This window comes from Homo sapiens, chromosome X (genome assembly GCF_000001405.40).
Source record: "Homo sapiens chromosome X, GRCh38.p14 Primary Assembly".
NCBI classification, from domain to species: Eukaryota; Metazoa; Chordata; class Mammalia; order Primates; family Hominidae; genus Homo; species Homo sapiens.
In genome coordinates this window covers 40,733,034-40,753,685 of record NC_000023.11, presented here as the reverse complement: position 1 = coordinate 40,753,685, position 20,652 = coordinate 40,733,034, and the positions used below count along the sequence as shown (strand labels likewise).

Here is a 20,652-nt window from a genome sequence, read left to right as displayed (position 1 = left end):
ACAGTCGAATTCTACCAAATATTTAAATAACTAATACAAATCCTCCTCACACTTTTTCCCAAAAAAATGAAGAAGAGGAAATACTTCCAGACTGATTCTATGAGGCCAGCATTACTGATGCCAAAGTCAGGCAATAGCACTACCAAAAAAGAAAATTCCAGGCCAATATCCCTGATGAACATAGATGCAAAAATCCTAAACAAAATATGAGCAAACCAAATTAAACAGCATATTAAAAGGATAATTCACCGTGATCAAATGAGATTTATCCCTGGGATTCAAGGATGGTTCAACATTTGCAAATCAATGAATGTGATAAACCATAATAACAGAATGAAGGACAAAAACTATACAATCACCTCAATAGATGCAGAAAGGAAAAACATTTGAGAAAATTCAACATCCTTTCATGATAAAAACTCTCAACAAATTAGGCATAGAAGGAACGTACCTAAACACAATAAAGGCCATATATGAAAAGCCCACAACTAACATACTCAACAGTGAAAAGTTGAAAGCTTTTCCTCTAAGATCAGGAACAAGACAAGGATGCCCACTCTCACCACTTCCATTCAACATAGTACTGGAAATCGTAGCTTGAGCAATGAGGCAAGAGAAAGAAATAAAATACAGCCAAATTGGAAAGGAAGAAGTTAAATTGCCCCTGTTTGCAGACAACATAATCTTACATAAAGAAAACCCAAAAAACTCATGCCAAAACTGTTAGAACTAATAAATGAATTCAGTAAAGTTGCAGTATACCAAATCAACATGCAAAAATCAGTAGCCTTTCCTTACACTAAAAATAAACTATATGAAAAAGAAATTAAGAAAATTTGATGCTATCCACAATAGCATCAAAAAATTGAATATTTAGGAGTAAATTTAACCAAGGAGGTGAAAGGTCTGTGCACTAAAGACTATAAAACATTGATGAAAGAAATAGAAAAGATACAAATAAATGAAAAAGTATCCCATGTTCATGTATGGAAGAATTAATATTGTTAAAAAATGTCCATACTACCCAAAGCAATCTATGGGTTCAGTTAAATCTCTATCAAAATTACAATGTCATTTTTCACAGAACTAGAAAAAGCAATCCTAAAATTTGTATGGAACCACAAAAGACCCTGCATAGCCAAAGCAATCTTGAGCAAAAAAACTGGAGCCCAAAGATCAAAAGCAAAAGCTGAAGGCATCATACTACCTGGCTTCAAAATCTATTACAAAGCTGTAGTAATCAAAACAGCATGGTACTGGCATTAAAAAAGATGCATTGACCAATAGAACAGAATAGAGCCCAAAAATAACCCCAAGCACTTACAATCAATTGATTTTTGACAAAGATGCCAAGAACACACAATGAGAAAGGACAATCTCTTCAATAAGGAGTGTTGGGAAAACTGGACATCCACATGCAAAATGAGCTTGGACTCTTATACCATGTACAAAAATCAACTCAAAGCGGATTAAAGACTTAAACATAAAGCTTGAAACTGTAAAACTACTGGAAGAACACATGGGGGAAAATGCTCCACAACATGGGGGAAATGCTCCACAATAGCCCCAAAAGCAAAGGCAACAAAAGCAAAAATAAACAAATGGGATTGGATCAAATTAAAAAGCTTCCACACAGCAAAGGAAACCATTAACAGGATGAAGAGACAACTCAAGGACTGGGAGAAAATATTTGCAAACCATACATCTGACAAGAAACTAATATCCAAAATAAGGAACTCAAACAACTCAATAGCAAGAAAAAAAAACAAACTAGTTAAAACACGGACCAATGACTTGACATTTCTCAAAAACAGATACACCAATGTTCAACAGATATATGAAAAACACTTATCATCCCTAATCATCAGGGAAATGTAAATTAAAAGCACAATGGAAATATCATCTTACACCCGAATGTGAGGTGATATGATAGAATATCATGAAATCTATAATAGAATAGGTGATAATAGAATTATTATCAGAAAAACAAAAGATAATAAGTGTTAACAAGGGTGTAGAGAAAAGGGAATGCTTGTACACTGTTGGTGGAAATATAAATTAATATAGCCATTATGAAAAATATTATGGAATTTCCTCAAAAAGCCCCACAATAAATAGAACTACCATATGATCCAGCAATCCCACTACTGGGATTAAAAGGAATCCAATCCTGGCTAACACAGTGAAACCCTGTCTCTACTAAAAATACAAAAAAATTAGCCAGGCGTGGTGGCGAGCGCCTGTAGTCCCAGCTACTCGGGAGGCTGAGGCAGGAGAATGGCGTGAACCCAGGAGGTGGAGCTTGCAGTGAGCCAGGATCGCGCCACTTCACTCCAGCCTGGGTGACAGAGAGAGACTCTGTCTCAAAAAAAAGGAATCCAAAGGAATTAAAATCAGTATGTCAAAGTGGATATCTGTACTCCCATGTTCATTGCAGCATTATTCACAGAGGGTAAGATTTGAAAGCAAGGTAAGTGTCCATCAATGGATGAATGGATTTTTTAAAATGTGGTATATATACACAATGGAATACTATTCAGCCTTTAAAAAGAATAAAATTCTGTCACATGTGACAACATGGATGAACATGGAGGACATTATGTTAAGTGAAATAAGCCAGGCACAGAAAGACAAATATCACACCATCTCACCTACATGTGAAATTTTAAAAAGTCAAATTCATACAAGTAGAGAGTACAATGGCAATTCCCAGAGGCTGGAGGAGAGGGGTAGACATGGAAAGCGGAGATGTTTAAGTAGTTGAGGTGGTGAATTTGTTAATTTGCTTGATTTAATCGTTCCACAATGTAAACATATATCAAACATCAAGGTCAGGCAAGGTGGCTCATGCCTGTAATCCCAACACTACGAGAGGCTGAGGCAAGAGGATCACTTGAGGCCAGGAGTTCGAGACCAGCCTGGTCAACACAGGGAGACTCCTGTTTCTACAGTTTTTTTTTTTTTTTAATTAGCCAGGTGTGTTGATGCATGCCTGTAGTCCCAGTACTCAGAAGGCTGAGGAGGGAGGATCACTTGAACCCAGGAGTTCGAGGTTGCAGTGAGCTATGATCACGCCACTGCACTCCAGTCTAGGCGACCCAGCAAGACCCTGTCTCAAAAGAAAAATAAAAAAATAAAAAGAACAATTCTGTTTACCACAGTCTGCCCTCTGGCCCCCAATGATTCATGTCTCTCCTAAATGCAAAATACATTCACCTTCTCCCAAATTTGCCAAGGGTGTCAATACCATTACAGCTTAAACTCAAAGTCCAAACTCTCATCTAAATCTCATGAATTCAAAAATCCAATATCTCATCATCAAATCACTTAGATTAGGTGTGGGTGAGACGCCTGGCACAATTTCTCTCCATCTGTGGACCTATGAAACTGTAGAAACAAGTTATCTATTGCCAACACATGATGATGGAACAGGCATAGGGTAAGAGTTACAGACATTCTAGTTCAAAAGGGAGGAAAATGGAAGGTAAAAAGGATCACCAGTCCAAAGCAGTTTTAAAAGCTGGGAAACTCCCTTGGGTTTCAAGACTTGGAAATAATTCCACGTGCCTTTCAGTTCTGCCCTCTGGCTCTCGCCTGTGCCCCCTGGGCTTTCAGTTCCTCTCTCTGAGCCGTCCTTTTTTCATGAAAGGTAGAATGTGTTTACAGCTGAGTAGTTTTATCAACCTCCTTTCTGCCAGAGGAATTCTGGGAGTTTGACAGCTTCCTTTCACTTCAAACTCTGTCACTTTCAGTCCAAGCTGGCAGTATTTCTGCTGATACAAATTTCTCAAGAACCTTGTCTGCTTTGAGTGGATGTCATAGGAATTCACTACATTGAACAGAAGCCATGTCCACAAATCTGGTAGAGATCATTCCTTCTCTAGCTTTGGCTGCTGCTGAGATGGCTCAGGGACACCCTTAAGCTTCCTAGAAGCCACTGATTTGAATGAGATCTGTGAGGCACAGCATAAACCTCTTGTGATCAAATACTCTAACCTTTTGTCTCTTAATTTTAGTGTCTTCGTCAATCTTGATATGCTGAGAATTACCCAATTCCTTTGTGTTTAACAGTCCTTTCCTCAATTTGTCACTCTCTTCTTGGGTTTTACTATAATCGGCAAGAAGAAACTAGATGGCACCTTCAACACTTTACTTGACCAATCCAGTGAGACCCCATCTCTATAAAAATAAAAATAAATTAGCCAGGTGTTGTGGCACGTGCCTGTAGTCCCAGTTACTCAGGAGGCTGAGGCAGGAGGATCATTTGAGCCCAGGAGTTTGAGGCTGCAGTGAGCCATAATTGCACCACTGCACTCCTGCCTGGGCAACAGAGGGAGACCCTGCCTCTAAAAAACAAAAAAAAACCAAAAAAAAAACAACAAGCAAAAACAACTTTACTTGGAAATCTTTTCAGCTAAATATGTGAGTTCATTGCTTTCAAATTCTACCTTCCAAATAACTGCAGGACACAAGTTTCAGTTTTGCTAAGCTTGCTGCCAATACATAACAAGGATCTCACTTCCTCCAGATTCTTATAACATGAGCCTCACTTCCTTCTGAGGCCTCACCAGCCGCCTTCCCATAGTCCATATTTCTACTAACATTCTGTTCAAGGCAACTTAGGCTGTTATCATGCTCCACAAAATCCTCTTCAAACTTGGTTCCAAAGACACTTCCACATTTTTAAGTATTTCTTATAGCAGCACCACACTTTCAGGTACTAAAATCCATATTCGTTTTCTATCGTTGCATAACAAACTAACATGAACTTACCATATCCTGACCTATATTCTATATTTTGGCATTTATCTTATCTGGCTTTCTCTTTCTAAGGGTTATTTTGTCCGTGCCTTATCCAAGTCCTCTATGCCCCACTATATTTTTTCATGGCATTTCTTTACGCCTCTTCTCCTCTGCACTCTGCACCCACAGGCGTGCAGCAGCAGGCAGATGGCAGGAGCTCTATTAGAATTTGGTTTATTTCTTTGCTTACAAGTAATTTAAACATCAGAATATTCTCTTTTACCAAATACTGATGAAGGAATAAGTCACTGTATTAGTCCATTTTCGTGATGCTGATAAAGACATACCTGAGACTGGGTAATTTATAAAGAAAAAGAGGTTTAATGGACTCAACAGTTCCATGTGGCTGGGGAGGCCTCACAATCATGGTGGAAGGTGAAAGGCACATCTTACATGGCAGCAGATGAGAGAGAACTTGTGCAGGGAAACTCCCCCTTACAAAACCATCAGATCTCGTGAGACTTATTCACTATCATGAGAACAGCACAAGAAAGACCCACCCCCATGATTCAATTACCTCCCACCAGGTCCCTCCCATGACACGTGGGAATTGTGGGAGCTACAATTCAAGATGAGATTTGGATGGGGACACAGCTAAACTATATCAGTCATATGTTGCTTTATTTCATGAGGTTTATTTGTGGAGAGAGGGGTGAGTAGGGAGATTCAGAATGAGGCAGTATTGCCACTGTCCTCCAAACCCAGAAGGCTAGTTTTTCACAATGGTATAGATTATCTATTCTGAAACGACTTTCTATGTATTCTAGGATTGAGCAAATAAGTATATTGAGCCAGATTGTTCACTGTCAGAAAAGGAAGTTACAAATATGGAAAGGGGGAAGACTAGAATGAACCTCTGGTGTTGGATTGAAATATGAGGTATCAGTATGAACTCATGGCTTTAATATATATATATATATATATATATAGAGAGAGAGAGAGAGAGAGAGAGAGAGAGAGAGAGAGAGAGAGACAGATGTGGAAACAAATATGTGTGTAAATGTACACGTGTGTACACATGCACATGCATGCCCATACACACATTTGCAAGAAGGAAAGAGTTAAAGGAACTGACCTGCAATTTATTTGGTCTCTTTACAAGGGGGATATCCCTAGTGCAAATAAAATAATGCATAGTTATAGTGATTACTGATATATTAGTATTTCTTTTTTTCTTAATTTATGCTATTTCCCATTCTTTTGCTTTATTTTTTCCTCCTCATTTCATGCCAATTATTGGATTCGCCATGCTTCATTTTTTCTCTTCTTTTTCCTCTTCTGGCTTGGAAGTCATATAACCCATTTGTGCTCTTGTAGTAGTTTCTCTTAAATTTGGCATACTTGGTTTGAAATCTAAAGTTAATCTATATTGGCCGGGCTTGGTGGCTCACACCTGTAATCCCGGCACTTTGGGAGGCTGGGGCCAGAGGATTGCTTGAGCCCAGGAATTTGAGAGACCAGCCTGGGCAACATAGTGAGACCCCCGTCTCTGCAAAAAATACAAAAAAATTAGTGGCATGTGCTGGTGCATGCCTGTAGTCCCAGCTACTTGAAAGGCTGAGGCAGGAGGATTGTTTGAGCCCCGGAGGTTGAGACTGCAGTGAGCCGTGATAGTGCCACTGCATTCCAGCCTGGGTGACACAGTGGGACCTTGACTCCAAAAAAAAAAAATAATAAAAATAAAATAAAGTTAATCTATATCTTTACTGTCCCCCTGACTAACGCATGGACCTTGAAATACTCTACCTCCAATTTCTCCTTCCAATTTTTCATGTTATTGCTAATATTTTAACTCCATCTTTTAAAAATATACTCAATCATTATTGCCATTTTTCTTGCTTTTTTCCATTTTCTTAGTTTTTTTTTAATAGTCAATGTCTATTTAGATTTATCTGCATATTTACTAACTTCTTTCCCACAGGTTTACCAATTTATTTGCTCACCATTGCTTCTTGCATCCTACACTGTCCTTCAGGATTCAAAACAGTTCTTTCTAAAGTGAATCCTTTAGAGGTTTTCAGGGTGACAGTCTGTGAATGATAAGCTCCTTTAATCTTTGTCTGAAAATGTCTTTATTTTGCCCTTCTTTGAATACAAAATGTAGTCCCATGGTGTGGCAGCTATGAAAATACGCCACTCAGATCTCTTGCTACAGGAAGCATAATTGACAGATGGCCTCAGCTGCTGCGCTACGAATCTACCGCCTGTTAACATGGAGACCACACTTCACACAGGCTGCTTTCAGTCAATGATTCCGCATGGCAGGGATAATAAGGTAGACCCATTCCTGTAAGACATGTGACTCCTCTGACAGGCTACTTTGGCTTCAGGATGCCTCATCAACTTGGCCGAACCTTTCTTAGAATCTCAATGCAGTCTTAGACTCTGCCTATGCAATGCTCCTTTCATTGGTATCAGACCTGCAGAGTGGCCTGAAGCCTCTTCCCACCTCTTGGGGATCCCTCCCTCCCCTTTTACCCTCAGAGGATTTCTCCAATCAATCCTTGCATGTCCAATCCCATGTTGGCTTCTGCTTCTCAGAGGACTCAGACATGGTTTGTGAATTAAACCAATATAAAATGTATACAGTAATGCAAGTCTCAGTCCCACCCTTGCCCAAATCTACTATTTCCCTCACCACAACCACATTCAAACAGATGTACTACTTGTGTATCCTCTGAATTTGTTATGGTAATATAATAATATATGAATACATATTATTTTCCTTTTTCTTACATCAAAGATAGCATTCCATAAACACTGCTCTGAACCTTACACGTTTTATCTTCTAGGTCTTTTTAACTTGTTTAATATTTTCAGTCTTTGGGTAACTCCGTGTCACAGCATTCTGAAAAATTTCCTTAAGTCTATTGTACAGTTTATTTCTTCTCTTTTTAGCTGTCTAATCTGCTTTCTAGCTTTTCACTAAATTGCTTTTCAGAAGCAATTCCGAATTTTTTAATCTTTACATTTCTATGGTTATTTTTCCCTAGTCTGTCTTTTCTTTTTGTCATATTGTCTTGTTCTTTTCTTAGCATTTCAATTATTCTTTTAGGTTTCTAATTGTCTAAAATATACTGATTTTATATTTTCTTTCAAATTTTAGCCTATTATCTCTGGTTTGGAGGGCTCTAATCTTTCCTCTTATTTTTCCTCCTATATTTTTTTAATGCAGACCTAAATGTTTTCACATTTCATTTATGCCTTTTGATAACATCCAAAGGAAGTAATTTTGGCATGTTTCATAAATATCAAAGCAAAACTAAAATTATAATCCATATTTTCTTCAGGAGCATTGTTTTCTCTCTAAGCTTTACTTTTATCCTAGAATTTGAAGTTTCCTTCCCTTTTGGCTCAATTCTATCTTCTTCAAAAATCACTAGAAATAATGGGCTAATTTTTCTGGAAGTAAAAATGAATTCTGTACAAATCTTTCTACTGGTTTACAGGTGAGGTAGTCCGCCATAGGTCTCAAAGATCTTTGCACAGTCTTGCTAAGTGTGCCACACTAAGGCCTAACCATCCCCTGATACTGAACTGTGTAGCTGACTTTATCTGTGTATTATTCCAGTCTAATGAATGGCTGGACAGATTTCTGTAACACTTTCTCACTCTGAGCTAGGTTGTACTTTCTTAGTCCTTTCTTTTGGCCAAGGGCTATAAAATTCGGACCACAGGACATTATTTTGTGAAATCCAGATCTGCGCCACTGTCTGAGTTCCATTGATAGGAAGGCTATTCGGATAGTTGGATTAAAGTCAATCCTTCATGTTTCTTTCACTGTAAGATGAACTTTTGAGTCAATTTATGTGACAGTGACTGAATAATATCATTTAAGACTCTGAAGATCACACATATGAACACTGTAACCCAGACAAATACTAACAGAAGATTTTATAATCAGACTTTGTAGTATACTTTTAGGAAACAAGTGTGTCCAAAATTAAACTAAGACTATAGGTCCTATCCCCAATCTTAAGGGTCTACAGAGCTAGCTATGAGAAGAGGGCCGCTGTTCTCCAGCCCCCAGGATGGTAGATCCACCAACAACTTGCACCATGCACCTGGAAAAGCCTCAGATACTCAATGCCAGCCCATGCAGGAGCTGCCCAAGGCTGTGGGAGCCCACCCCTTGCATGAGCGTGCTCTGGATGTGAGACATGGAGTCAAAAGAGATCATTTTGGAGCTTTAAGATTTAATGACTGCCACACCGGGTTTCGGATTTGCATGGGGCCTGTGGCCCCTTTGTTTTGGCCAATTTCTCCCATTTGGAATGGGAACATTTACTCAATGCCTGTACCCCCACTGTATCTTGGAAGTAACTAATTTGTTTTTTATTTTACAGGTTCATAGGCAGAAGGGAATTTCCTTGTCTCAAATGAGACTTGGACTTTTGCGTTAATGCTGAAATGAGTGAAGACTTTGGGGGACTGTTGGGAAGGCATGATTGGTTTTGAAATGTGAAAAGGACATGACATTTAGGAGGGGTCAGGGACAGAATAATACAGTTTGGCTCTGTGTCCCAACTCAAATTTCATCTCGAATTGTAATCCCCATAATCCTCACATGTCCAGGGAGGAACCCAGTTGGGGGTGATTGGATCATGGGGACAGTTTCCCCCATGCTGTTCTTGTGATAGTGAGTGAGTTTTCACAAGATCTGCTGGTTATGAGGGGCTCTTCCCCCTTCGCTCCTCACTGGATGTAACTACAGTAACAAAGGCTATTATTTAAACTTACTTGTCTCTATATTTTTAAGTGAAATAAATAGTTTATTAAATTTTTTCTTTCTCATAGACATGTGTGACAATTTACCTACACTAGATATTCCTAGAATATGCACATGACTGAAAGAGTTTTCTGATCAATTATATTCAAAATTTCCCATTGCCTAGGGAAGGCCAGGATGGAAGGGGTAGGAGGAATGGGAGACTGGTGCTATGTATCTATGATTGCATCCTGACAATCTTCAGCCACCCCTATTCTTTTTTTCCACTGGCCCTTAGTGCCTGGTAAGCCTGACTGGTTTCAGCCTAAGGTTAGGCAACAGGAGGAAGGTGACTGCAACCTTTTGCTTCTGCTATGACTTGGTTTCAGGTGTTGGATATGGAAGAGTGCTGGCCATGAGGATAATAGTTGGTGAAATTCATGGGCACTAGAGTATCCCTACAGTGGCCTGCTTGGGCAATGTTAGAGGACATCACAGGCTGTTGCAAGTTCTACCCATGGTGCCCAGTTCCCATGAGCCTTCGTCCATCTGGGTAGAGGTGGTGGATGGCTGGGCGAAAGGAGAAATAGTGGCTACTGATTTAAAACAAATGGACTATATGGAAAGAGCAATAAACCTGGGACCTGGGGAAGGAATACCTTAGTCTCCAGGAGGTGTGGGAAGGGGGGAAACATTTAATGCTTTCTTTGTCCCCTAGATGTAGCACTGCAGCATGGCAAAACAATCACATGGTCCACCTGAGTCAGGCGGCAGCTGCAATTGGCAACACAACGCTGCTGCTGGGTTTACCATCCCCATCCTCATGCTATAAAAACAGAACACTCATGTAGGTATGGCAGGATCTGAACTATTTCACTGTGCATGACACTCTCACAATAGCAGCACTGTTTAGCCATACCTGACACCCTCACAATAACATGACTATTTGGCTGTGCATGACACCTCAGCTCCTTCCTCATATGTGCACCAAGGCAACTTTGCTTCAATCTGACTGGTAAGAATTAACGCATGGAGCCCTCAGCCCTGGGTTCCATTAGCTATGGCACAACTCACTGTGCATATAGTCTCCATGCTCATCACAACACTCCGTGAGACTTGGAGGCACTGGAACCAGAGCTACCATGCTCATGCCCCTGCTATTTGCCCTGGTGTCTTACTCTGATTTCATTGTTTATTTTGAGCAGCTATGGATGGCAGGTTTACTCCTTGCCCCTTCCAGAGGTGAGGGGGCTCTTCTCCAACAAAGAGAACAAGGCAAGACAAGATTTTTATCTCTTAATGAAGAATATAATAATTCTAAATGGACTCCTTCCCTCCTCCTCGTTTCTATTTCTAGTAATGCCCTTCTTTTTCTTCTTCTTTTGTTCACCCATTAGAAAACATTTATTTAAAAGACACTGAATTTTAGCATAGCTAGAAAATTTTAAGATTATAAAATTGTATAAGTTTTTTTTAAGAGTTCCTCAGAAACATTCTTTTCAAGGCCTGAAACCAAAACTGTTAAAATATTTGACACTTTTATCTCTTTCATAGGCAATTATAATTGAAGTTTCCGTGTAGTTTTCTTTTTTATGTTAGACACTCTGTAAATTAGAAATTTTTAAATCTGAAAATGAATAGATATATATTAAAGGCTGTTCATTAGGAAAGAGAAAAGATCTGGGCCTTTAGTTGGCTCCCCATTTCCAGTCTTTTTTTTGAACTTTTATTATGTATATTCTGAAACACAGAAAAGAAGACTATAATGAACGCCCATGTATTCATCATCAGCTTTAACAACTGTCAACATTCTGCTAATCTTATTTCATGTAACTCCCCAACATTTTTTTCTGAAGCATTTTTAAAAAAATCCTGAGGCCAGGCATGGAGGCTCACACCTGTAATTCTAACACTTTGGGAGGCCAAGGTAGGAGGATTGCTTGAGGCCAGCTTGAGGCCAGGTGTTCAAGATCAGCTGGGGCAATATAGCAAGACCTCCTTTTTACAAAAAAAAAAAAAAATTAAAAATCAGCTGGGTGCAGTAATGTGTGCCTGTAGTCTCCGCTGAGGCAGGAAGATCACTTGAGCCCAGAAGATAGAGGTTGCAGTGAGCTATGATTGTGCCATGGCACTCCAGCCTAGGCAATAGAGTGAGACCCTGTCCCCTCTCCCCTCCACAAAAAAATCCTGACACTTTATTTCATGTAAATATATGTAAGTCAATGTTTGTTTGTTTGTTTGTTTGTTTAGACAGAGTCTTGCTCTTGTCACCCAGGCTGGGGTGCAATGGCACAATCTCGGCTCACTACAACCTCTGCCTCCTGGGTTCAGTCAATTCTCCTGCCTCAGCCTCCCAAGTAGCTGGGATTACAGGTGCCCACCACCACATCCGGCTAATTTTGTATTTTTTTTTAGTAGAGACGGGGTTTCTCCATGTTGGCCAGGCTGGTCTCGAACTCCTGACCTCCTGATCTGCCTGCCTTGACCTCCCAAAGTGCTGGAATTACAGGCGTGAGCCACTGCGCCCAGCCTGTAAGTCAATATTAATCCTACAAAAGTAAATGTAATACAAATAGAACTATAGCATATAAATGAAGAAATATTAGGTTGGTGCAAAAATATATTCATCCCATTCATTCATTAAAGCCAGGTAGCTAGGCACTATGGTAGGTGGGGAGATCAGAAAGATAGCCACATGAGGACAGAAGAAGAAAGTTCACAGGTTATTAGGTGAATAAGCAAATACAAGACTTACTGATCCTAAATGATGATGATCACTTACTGTTTGATCATCAAAGGATGAAGACCACTTACTATTTTAAGCCCTTTGCACATGTCAACTCATTAATTCTTCACAATCATCCTTTGAGGTAAGCAGTATTATTACAGATGAAGAAACTGAGATCACGCAAAGTAAAGTAACTTGCTGGAGAGCGTTCAGATAGTGTGTGGTAGAGCTAGGATTTGAATCTAAGCAGTCTGATTTCAGGGGCTGTGCTCTAAGGGGAAAAAAAGAGGAGACTACTTTAATATTGTGGTAAAAACAATGCTATCTGTTCATCATACTATTTCATTTCTTCCCTAAGCACACAAGAAGACCATATTTTCCAGGTCCCTAGCCTTTAAATGGGCTGTATGACTAATTCTGGCTAATGGAACATGGGTGGACACACACAAAAAAAATTCTCATATAGTGATGGCTTCCCAAGATGGAAGAAGCTTGGGTCTCCGAGTTACTACTTAGAGGACCATCCCCATCAGGTACATCTTTATTGAGATTCATGAGCATGAGAAATAAACTCTTACTCTGTTAAGTCACCAAGATTTTGGAGTTTGTAATGGTAGCTAGTGTAAATTATACTGATAGAAACATTTAAATTTAAATGTTTTAAAATTATGAAATATTTAAAAATATTGAAAAGTACAGAATATATTAACAATCAGATCTCTATCCCCTGATTTAATAGATATTAATATTGTCACATTTCCTTTATGTTTTTCTTCCAGAAATCCATTAGATAAAATAGCTAGTAACCAATAAAGCATCATCTTATCCTTTAGCCCTCCCTAGAAGTAACTACTATCCTGAAGGTGGTATATATCATCCCCATTTATATTTTTTACTTTTACTACACAATATACTAAATTATAGAGTATTATTTTGTGTGCTTTTCTTTTCTCTTTTTTTTTTTTTTGACATAAGGTCTTGCTCTATTGCCCAGGCTGGCATGCAGTGGTGTGATCTCAGCTCACTGCAACCTCTGCCTCCCAGGCTCCAGCAATCCTCCCACCTCAGCCTCCCGAGTAGCTGGGACCACAGGTGCATGCCATCACACCTAGCTAATTTCTTGCATTTTTTGTAGAGACAGAGTCTTGTTGTGTTGACCAGGCTGGTCTCGAACTCCTGGGCTCAGGTGATCTGCCCGCTTCGGCCTCCCAAAGTGCTGAGATTACAGGCATGAGCCACCGTGCCCGGCTTTTGTGTGCTTTTAAAATGGACACAAGTGGTATCAGAAAGATTGCTTTTCTTTATTCAGTATTGTTTTTAAGATGTATTCATGTCAGTTTACGTAGCTGTAATACATTTGAACAGTTACATAAAAATATATTTATTTATTTATTTATTTTTATTTTTGGGACAGAGTCTTGCTCTGTCACTCAGGCTGGAGTGCAGTGGCGGATCTCGGCTCACTGCAACTGCGCCTCCCGGGTTCAAGCAATTCTTGTGCCTCGGTCTCCCAAGCAGTTGGGATTACAGGCTTGCACCACCACGCTCAGCTAATTTGTTTTTGTTGTTGTTGTTGTTGTTGTTGTTTTTGTATTTTTAGTAGAGACGGAGTTTTCATCATGTTGGCCAGGCTGGTCTGGAACTCCTGGCCTCAAGCAATTAGCTGGCCTCAGCCTCCCAAAGTGCTGGGATTACAGGTATAAGCCACCATGCCTGGGCAAAAATATAGTTTACTTATCTATTCTCCTACTGAGAGACAGTTAAGATTGTTCATATTTTCTTGCTTCTACAAATAAAGCTGCAATGAAGTTCCTTGTACATGCCTAATGTAATATAGTCAGGAAAGCCTCTCTGAGGATTTTATCATTAAACTGATACTTGAAGGATGAGAAGCCAGCCAGGAAACAATATTTCAAGTATCTGCAACATAATGCAAGCTATCTTCAGTGGGAGGGAATGGCATGTACTATGTAGTGAAGTTACAGTGTAGTAAGGGAATAAGTGGCAGGAGATGGGGAGTTTATTGAAATTTCTGTGAGTTGAATAGGTATCTTTAAAAATGGAAAAGTACTATTTATCAAAAAGAATGTTCTAAAGAAAAATAAGGTGAAAATTCAGCAATAGGACTATGAAACTTACTGTGCTTGAATTATTGGAGACCAGAGAGGTAAAGTAAATGAAAGCTCCTGAGTGCAGTGATATCCCACCTCCCAACCAGATAGTGTTACCAAAATGCCAGGGGTTTGGTCTAGGTCCCATTGCTCCCTGCACAGAAAGCCAATCACTGAGACAACGACTGTTGCCAGGGAAGTAGTCATTCCATCTCTCTGACTGACTAAAATTGGGGGTTTATATAGTGGGAAAGGAATGTAACTACATGTGGGTAAACAGGAATTAGGGAGAGGTAAGGAAATCATGAAGGATGAGGGACCTGGCTTCTCATTGTCTAGATATGGTGACCTGGTTTCAGTTTCTTGAAACTATCTGGGAGGCATGAAGGTTATTTTCCCGAGGAAGGAACTCAGTTAAGACAAATATAAGTTTCAAGCTTTAAAACTGGAAGGGTCAATATCTATGTTTATTTTAGAAGACTGTAAACATCGGTTCTATGGGACAATTGGGCTGGTTTCAGTAACATAGCCACTTGGCAAACATAGGAAGGGCTAGTAAAATAAATTAATGGGGAAGGAAAGAAAATGTTAGCATGTTTGGCTGAGTTACTAAATAAATGACCCATATTCAAACCACTTTTGGAAAGTTTCCAATTTATCATTTTAAAGCTTACAGTACAATATTTGACACTATAGTATAGGTACATACTTCTTTCATTCACATTTTTCAGTTGTTCCCCTATTTGGTGATCACCTGATTCACACTTCAGATCGTTTCAGAACTAGCAGCATGATATTTTCTCAGCTCTTAAATTGACTTAAATGCTTCAGATGTTTCATGAGATTAATCTGATTTTAACAAAAGGAACAAAAAATATTGAAAACATGGAGAAAAAGGGGAATTTCCTTTAAAGCTCTTTTGATGGAAAAATGAAATTATGATACATATGGTTTCATTTAATGTACAGCTGCCCCTCAGACTCAAAAGGGTTGAAAAGGAATTGAAAAGTAATTTTTTTCATTATTTTGATAAGATTTGCAATCACTTCTATCCAAAAGCAAGAGCAGAAACTGCATTCATTCAACAGATGCGGCATTCATAGTGAAGTCGAGAGGAGGAACCATGGGCATGGTCTGACCAACCTAGAAAAAAATGAGAACATTGTAATGGCTTTGCATTTAGAATAAAACCCAAACTTCTTACTGTGGCCTCTAAAGCCATTAGCAGAGTAGCCTTTGCCTGCCTCTCTATGCAAATTAAAACCACACAATTAATTTGTGTAGGGAGCAAACAAATTTTGTTAGAATGTCTATAATCAAAAAGATGAAAGATAACAAGTGTTGGTGAAGGTGTGGAGAAAAAGGAACCCTTGTACACTATTGATGTGAATGTAAATTTGTAGTACACCCATTTTGGAAAACAGTATGGAGGTTCCTTAAGAAACTAAAAATAGAATTACTACAGGATGCAGCAATCTTACTTCTGGGTATATATCCAAAGGAACTGAAATCAGTATGTTGAAGAGATATCTGCACTCCCATGTTCATTGCACCATTATTCATAATAGCTAAGATGCGGAATCAAAGTGTCCATCAACCAATGAATGAATTAAAAAATGTGGTATAAATATACAACAGAATACTATTCAGCCTTAAAAAAGAATGAAATTCAGGCCGGGCATGGTGGCTCATGCCTGTAATCCCAGCACTTTGGGAGGCCAAGGTGGGTGGATCACCTGAGGTCAGGAGTTTGAGACCAGCCTGGCCAACATGGCGAAACCCCATCTCTACTAAAAATATAAAAATTTAAAAAAAATTAGCTGGGCGTGGTGGCACGTGCCTGTAATCCCAGCTACTCAGGAGGCTGAGGCAGGAGAATCGCTTGAACTTGGGACGCGAGGTTGTAGTGAGCCAAGATCGCGTCACTGCATTCCAGCCTGGGCGACAGAGCGAGACTCTGTCTCAAAAAAAAAAAAAAAAAAAAAAAGTAAAGAGTAGAATGGTGGTTACCACCAGAGGCCGGGTAGGACAGTGGGTGGAGAAAGGGGAAATATTAGTCAAAGGGTACAAAGTTTCAGTTAGATAGGCGGAATAAGTTCTGGTGATCTATTGCACAGCAATGTGACTACAATTAGCAATAACCTTTTGTATCTTCCAAAGTTGCTAAAAGTGGATTTTAAATGTTCTCACCAAAAGAAGTAAGTATGTATATCATTTGATAGATGTTAATAGCCTGATTTGCTCATTCCACAATGGTTACATGTTTCAAAACATCACATTGTATGCCATAAGTATATACTATCAATTAAAAATAAAAATAATATTTAAAAATAAGGTAGCTGCCTTCCAGCAACTGTATCTGTAAGGGGTATAAATAATCCCAATGCATTTTAATAACTAGCACAATGATATTCTGTTTCAATGTGCTTTAGGACCACCAAGGGAGGGAACAAGTGAGCTTACACCTTCAGAAGCAGATGAACCGCTTTCAACAATGATAAAGAATTACCCAAGTGATGACAGTAAGAATATTCTAACCTTAGGGAACATCATGAACATCTCTTACACCAAGAGGAGATGAAACTGCAAAAAGATGTTTGAAAGGGGTCGCAGCAACGAATGCTTCTAATAGTGAATCTCTACGTTAGGGCATGTTAGAATCACCTTAGGAAAGTTCAAAAATTCCCCAAGCCCAGACCTCAAGCCAGACCAATTAAATCTGAATCTACAGGGGTGGAACCCATATATCTAAGTATTTTTTTAAAAAACAGCTCCTCAGATAATTGCAAAGTGCAGCCAAGGTTGAGAATCGCTGTTTTAAAGCAGGTACAAAAAATTAAACGTGGACTTTGATGGGGGGGACGGGAGTGTCGGTAGGCATGGATGAACTGAAAAGCCCTTCAGAATAGAGCGGTGACTGCAAGAGCAAGGACAAAAACTATATGAGAGCCCGTGGCAGGGGATTTAAGGGCCGTTTTTGTGTGGGACTGACAGGATTTGGGGGATGGTGACGACCTCAGCATACACCCGACTCTATTAAAATTGAGTTACTCTGCCAGCGGCCCTGTCTCTACCCGCAATCATATTTTCTAGCACCTTTTCCCACAGTTTGGAAAAAAAAAAAAAGGGGCGAAAACGTTCTCCCACGTAACGCGCCGTGGACGTGTATGGGAGGAGCAAAGGCCTGAGAATCACAAGCGCGCGGCCGCTCCCATTTCTTCGCGATTCCAGAACCAGAATTCACGAACATTTAGAGGAGGCCTCCCCTGGCTGTGTTTGTGCCCCACTTAGGAAGCGATGGTGGATTTCTCTGGGCAAATTGTCGCCTTTACAACGCCAGGGGGCGGAGGCGGGAGGGAGAGCGGCGAGGGTAAGGGCGGGGCAACTGCTGACGTTCCCGGTGACGACTCCGGCTCAGCCCTCACCCTGGTTTCCGGCGGCGCGCGGCTCCCTTTTCCGCTCTCCCGCGCGCTCACAGGTACCGCCTCACTCCCACGCGCCCCCCAGCGCTGCGGTGCTAGACAGCTGAGAGAACAGACACAGACCTGTCGGAAGGTCCTCTGCAGGTCCCCCTTCCGCTCTGCCGATCGACTTCCGCCTCGGGCAGTCAACATGTACGTTGCGGCTGTCTGGCGAAGCTGCTTCTGAGCGTTTGCGGAGGCGCAGCTTCCCCTCTGCGGGGCCGCCCTGCTTCCCCCCCATCCCCGCCTCCCCCCGCCCCTCGCTCCTGTCCCTGGGGTCGGCGGACTTCTCGCTACATGGGGGCGGGCTTCCGCGGTCGGCGCACGGCTTCCTGTTCTGAGGCGGCCCGGCGGTAGGCGGTGGCGACTCTGCCCGCTCCCGTTTCGGCGCGGTGACCGAGCGCCCGGGAGGCTCGAGGACCGCATCGTGTGCCGTTGCGCCAAGCCCGGTCCTGCGCCGCCATGGCCCCAGTGCAGCTGGAGAACCACCAGCTGGTCCCGCCCGGAGGCGGCGGCGGGGGCAGCGGCGGACCCCCGTCAGCCCCAGCCCCTCCTCCCCCGGGAGCCGCCGTGGCGGCGGCCGCTGCAGCTGCGGCTAGCCCGGGCTACCGGCTGAGCACCCTCATTGAATTTCTGCTGCACCGGGCCTACTCGGAGCTTATGGTGTTGACGGACCTGTAAGTGCCCCGAAACCCCTGCCTGTTCCCCAGCCCCCCTTCCCGCCCAACCGGCTGAGACGTTTGCACCTCCCTCTCCCCGAGAGGCTGCTGTGTTCTCCGCTGGACTGCTTAGTCTAGAATTTTTGAACTCCTGGGGTTCAGCAGAGGTGGAGAAGAAGCTTTGTATCTGGGGTCTTCCTGGCAACGATGCAACAGAGACTTGTTAATTTTGCGTGTTGTTACACTTCCACTGAAAATTGTGTGAAATTTTTGTCCGAGTTCCCAACAGAACTCTCTTGATTTCTTGGCTGGAATACATAATATTCGAGCTTTTAGAAAAAACTCTATAGATGGGAAATTTGTATTACAGCCTCTTGACGATACGTTTTAAATGTAAGCTGTTATTGCTTCTAAGTTAATGCAGGAGCTACATACGTTGTGTATAAAATACAAATTTGAATTCAAAGTACTTTTTTTCTGGAACTTTTGAGTGTTTGAGGTCTTAATGAAGTTAGTGTGAGTAAAATTTTTTTGTAAGTAGTCTGTTATTTCTTGGAGTATGAAGGGGGTTTATAAATCACCTAGTTACCCATGAAATGCCTTGGGGCATGATTAAGTTGTTAATCCCTTCAGAATAGGATCAGAATATACTAACGAATTTCAGTGTGTGAAGAAAAGGCACCGTAACATTTTGGGACTCTGTTGTACATCTTATAACCCAGGTTCAGAAAAAGTTAATCAGAATTTTATTTTTTATCTATTGCAAGACTTCAGATCAGGGTTATCAATTGAGATACATTAGTATGCAGATATTAGGCTCTAAAGCGTCACAGTAATTTGTTTTTAGAGACTGATAACAGATACTTGTTTGCAGATGACTGAAAGAGTAGGCTCTACTTAACTCCTGTAAAACGTCATTCTCAGTTTTGATGTATTGTACTTTTTTGAATGGGACAGAAAAAAGTAGTGTTAAAGAAGCCTACCCATGGCTAATGAGAAATTTAAATCGCTGTCAGGTTTAGGGACTATTATAATGATATACCTCTCTGCACCATTTATTGTTGGATTTCATAAAAATCCAAGAATATCCATGAGAAAGTTTCATGTATGTGCCTATATAGAGCTGTGGGAAAAAAAATGTTGAAAACTGCTGCTATCGGTGGTGTAATTTGCTTTTCCATAGGGGATTTGTAGAAATTCCTTGAATTGTGGTTGTCTTTTTACTATTTTAGGACTTGGCTTATGAAGAGAGGAACATCTGTTTTATTGCCGTAGAATAAGTATGTAGTTATAGTCCCACACCCTTTATGTGATGGTTCCCATATTTGTATCTCCAGCACAGACCTCTCTGATGAACTCCAGACTCTATATCCAGATGCCTACATTTCAGTATCTTGATGGGCATTTCAACATAGCAACTCCAGCACCAAACTCCTGATTCCACTGTCCTCCCTCCTGCAGAACCTTCTTTGCTATCTCACTAGTCTCTCCATTCTTCCTGTTGTTGCTCAGGCCAAATATTTTGGAATAACTCCTGGCTCCTCTCTCTTCACATCCTACATACATCAGCAAGTCCTGTTATCTTTGACTTCAGAGTCTGACCATTTCTCAACACTTCCACCAAGTGCTGGTCCAAGCCACCTAATCCTTCACCTGTGTACTGCAATAGTCAGTTCACTGGTATCTCTGTAGTTCCCTTGCCCCTTCTATAGTTTCTTCTCCACAAAATAGCCAGGATGATTCTTTTAAAATTTCTCTGCTTAGAACCCTTCGATGGTTCCCCATCTCACTGAGATTAAAAAGTGTTGATAATTGCCAGGTGTGGTGGCTTATACCTGTAATCCCAGCACTTTGGGAGGCTGAGGCAGGGGAGGGGGTCACTTGAGCCCAGGAGTTCGAGACTCTGTCTCTACCAAAAATAGAAAATTAGCTGGGTGTGGTGGCCCAAGCCTGTAGTTCCAGCTACTTGGAAGGTGGAGGTGGGAGGATTGCTTGGGCCCAGGAGGTTCGCTTGAGCCCAGGAGGTTGAGGCTGCAGTGAGCATGTTCGCACCACTGCACTCCAGACTGGGTGACAGTGAGATCCTATCTCAAAAAAAAAAAAAAAAATATTGATAATCATCTGTATAGTGACCATAAAATTTATAGTCCAAACCGGGACACTTTTGAGCATAATGGGGCTG

General features: G+C 40.9%; 1 protein-coding gene and 1 long non-coding RNA gene across 10 annotated transcripts in view, besides 7 other annotated features; one reads left to right on the top strand and one right to left on the bottom strand.

The window, feature by feature from the left end:
• Positions 3,627–3,716: an enhancer, noted in NCBI's record as "active region_29551". NCBI's record gives its function as "activates an Ori minimal core promoter by ATAC-STARR-seq in GM12878 lymphoblastoid cells {active_cell/tissue: GM12878}" and the evidence as "EXISTENCE:reporter gene assay evidence [ECO:0000049][PMID:35858748]".
• Positions 3,787–3,866: an enhancer, noted in NCBI's record as "active region_29550". NCBI's record gives its function as "activates an Ori minimal core promoter by ATAC-STARR-seq in GM12878 lymphoblastoid cells {active_cell/tissue: GM12878}" and the evidence as "EXISTENCE:reporter gene assay evidence [ECO:0000049][PMID:35858748]".
• On the bottom strand, positions 14,988–17,996 carry MED14OS (MED14 opposite strand). The gene is made up of 2 exons (NR_169211.1): positions 17,896–17,996; positions 14,988–15,493 (listed from the first exon to the last, which is right to left on the bottom strand). It is a non-coding gene; the product is annotated as an MED14 opposite strand (long non-coding RNA).
• Positions 16,932–17,852: an enhancer, noted in NCBI's record as "H3K27ac hESC enhancer chrX:40595086-40596006 (GRCh37/hg19 assembly coordinates)". NCBI's record gives its function as "activates a minimal SCP1, AML or CMV promoter by ChIP-STARR-seq in naive H9 embryonic stem cells {active_cell/tissue: H9 hESC(naive)}" and the evidence as "EXISTENCE:reporter gene assay evidence [ECO:0000049][PMID:30033119]".
• Positions 16,932–17,896: a biological region, named in NCBI's record as "H3K27ac hESC enhancer GRCh37_chrX:40595086-40596006".
• MED14 (mediator complex subunit 14) overlaps positions 17,527–20,652 on the top strand; it is an 87,855-nt gene continuing 84,729 nt past the window's right edge. For 4 of the 9 annotated variants that reach the window (XM_047442641.1, NM_004229.4, XM_047442642.1 and 1 more), the window contains exon 1: positions 18,144–18,488. In XM_047442641.1, coding sequence (XP_047298597.1) covers positions 18,274–18,488 — 215 coding nt within the window. In that variant the 5' untranslated portion in view covers positions 18,144–18,273. Of the gene's footprint in view, positions 17,965–18,143; positions 18,489–20,652 lie in introns of those variants that run through there. The other 5 variants (XM_047442636.1, XM_047442638.1, XM_047442640.1 and 2 more) reach the window with 5 other exon arrangements.
• Positions 17,807–17,896: a silencer, noted in NCBI's record as "silent region_20768". NCBI's record gives its function as "represses an Ori minimal core promoter by ATAC-STARR-seq in GM12878 lymphoblastoid cells {active_cell/tissue: GM12878}" and the evidence as "EXISTENCE:reporter gene assay evidence [ECO:0000049][PMID:35858748]".
• Positions 17,853–18,774: an enhancer, noted in NCBI's record as "H3K27ac hESC enhancer chrX:40594164-40595085 (GRCh37/hg19 assembly coordinates)". NCBI's record gives its function as "activates a minimal SCP1, AML or CMV promoter by ChIP-STARR-seq in naive H9 embryonic stem cells {active_cell/tissue: H9 hESC(naive)}" and the evidence as "EXISTENCE:reporter gene assay evidence [ECO:0000049][PMID:30033119]".
• Positions 18,157–18,536: a silencer, noted in NCBI's record as "silent region_20767". NCBI's record gives its function as "represses an Ori minimal core promoter by ATAC-STARR-seq in GM12878 lymphoblastoid cells {active_cell/tissue: GM12878}" and the evidence as "EXISTENCE:reporter gene assay evidence [ECO:0000049][PMID:35858748]".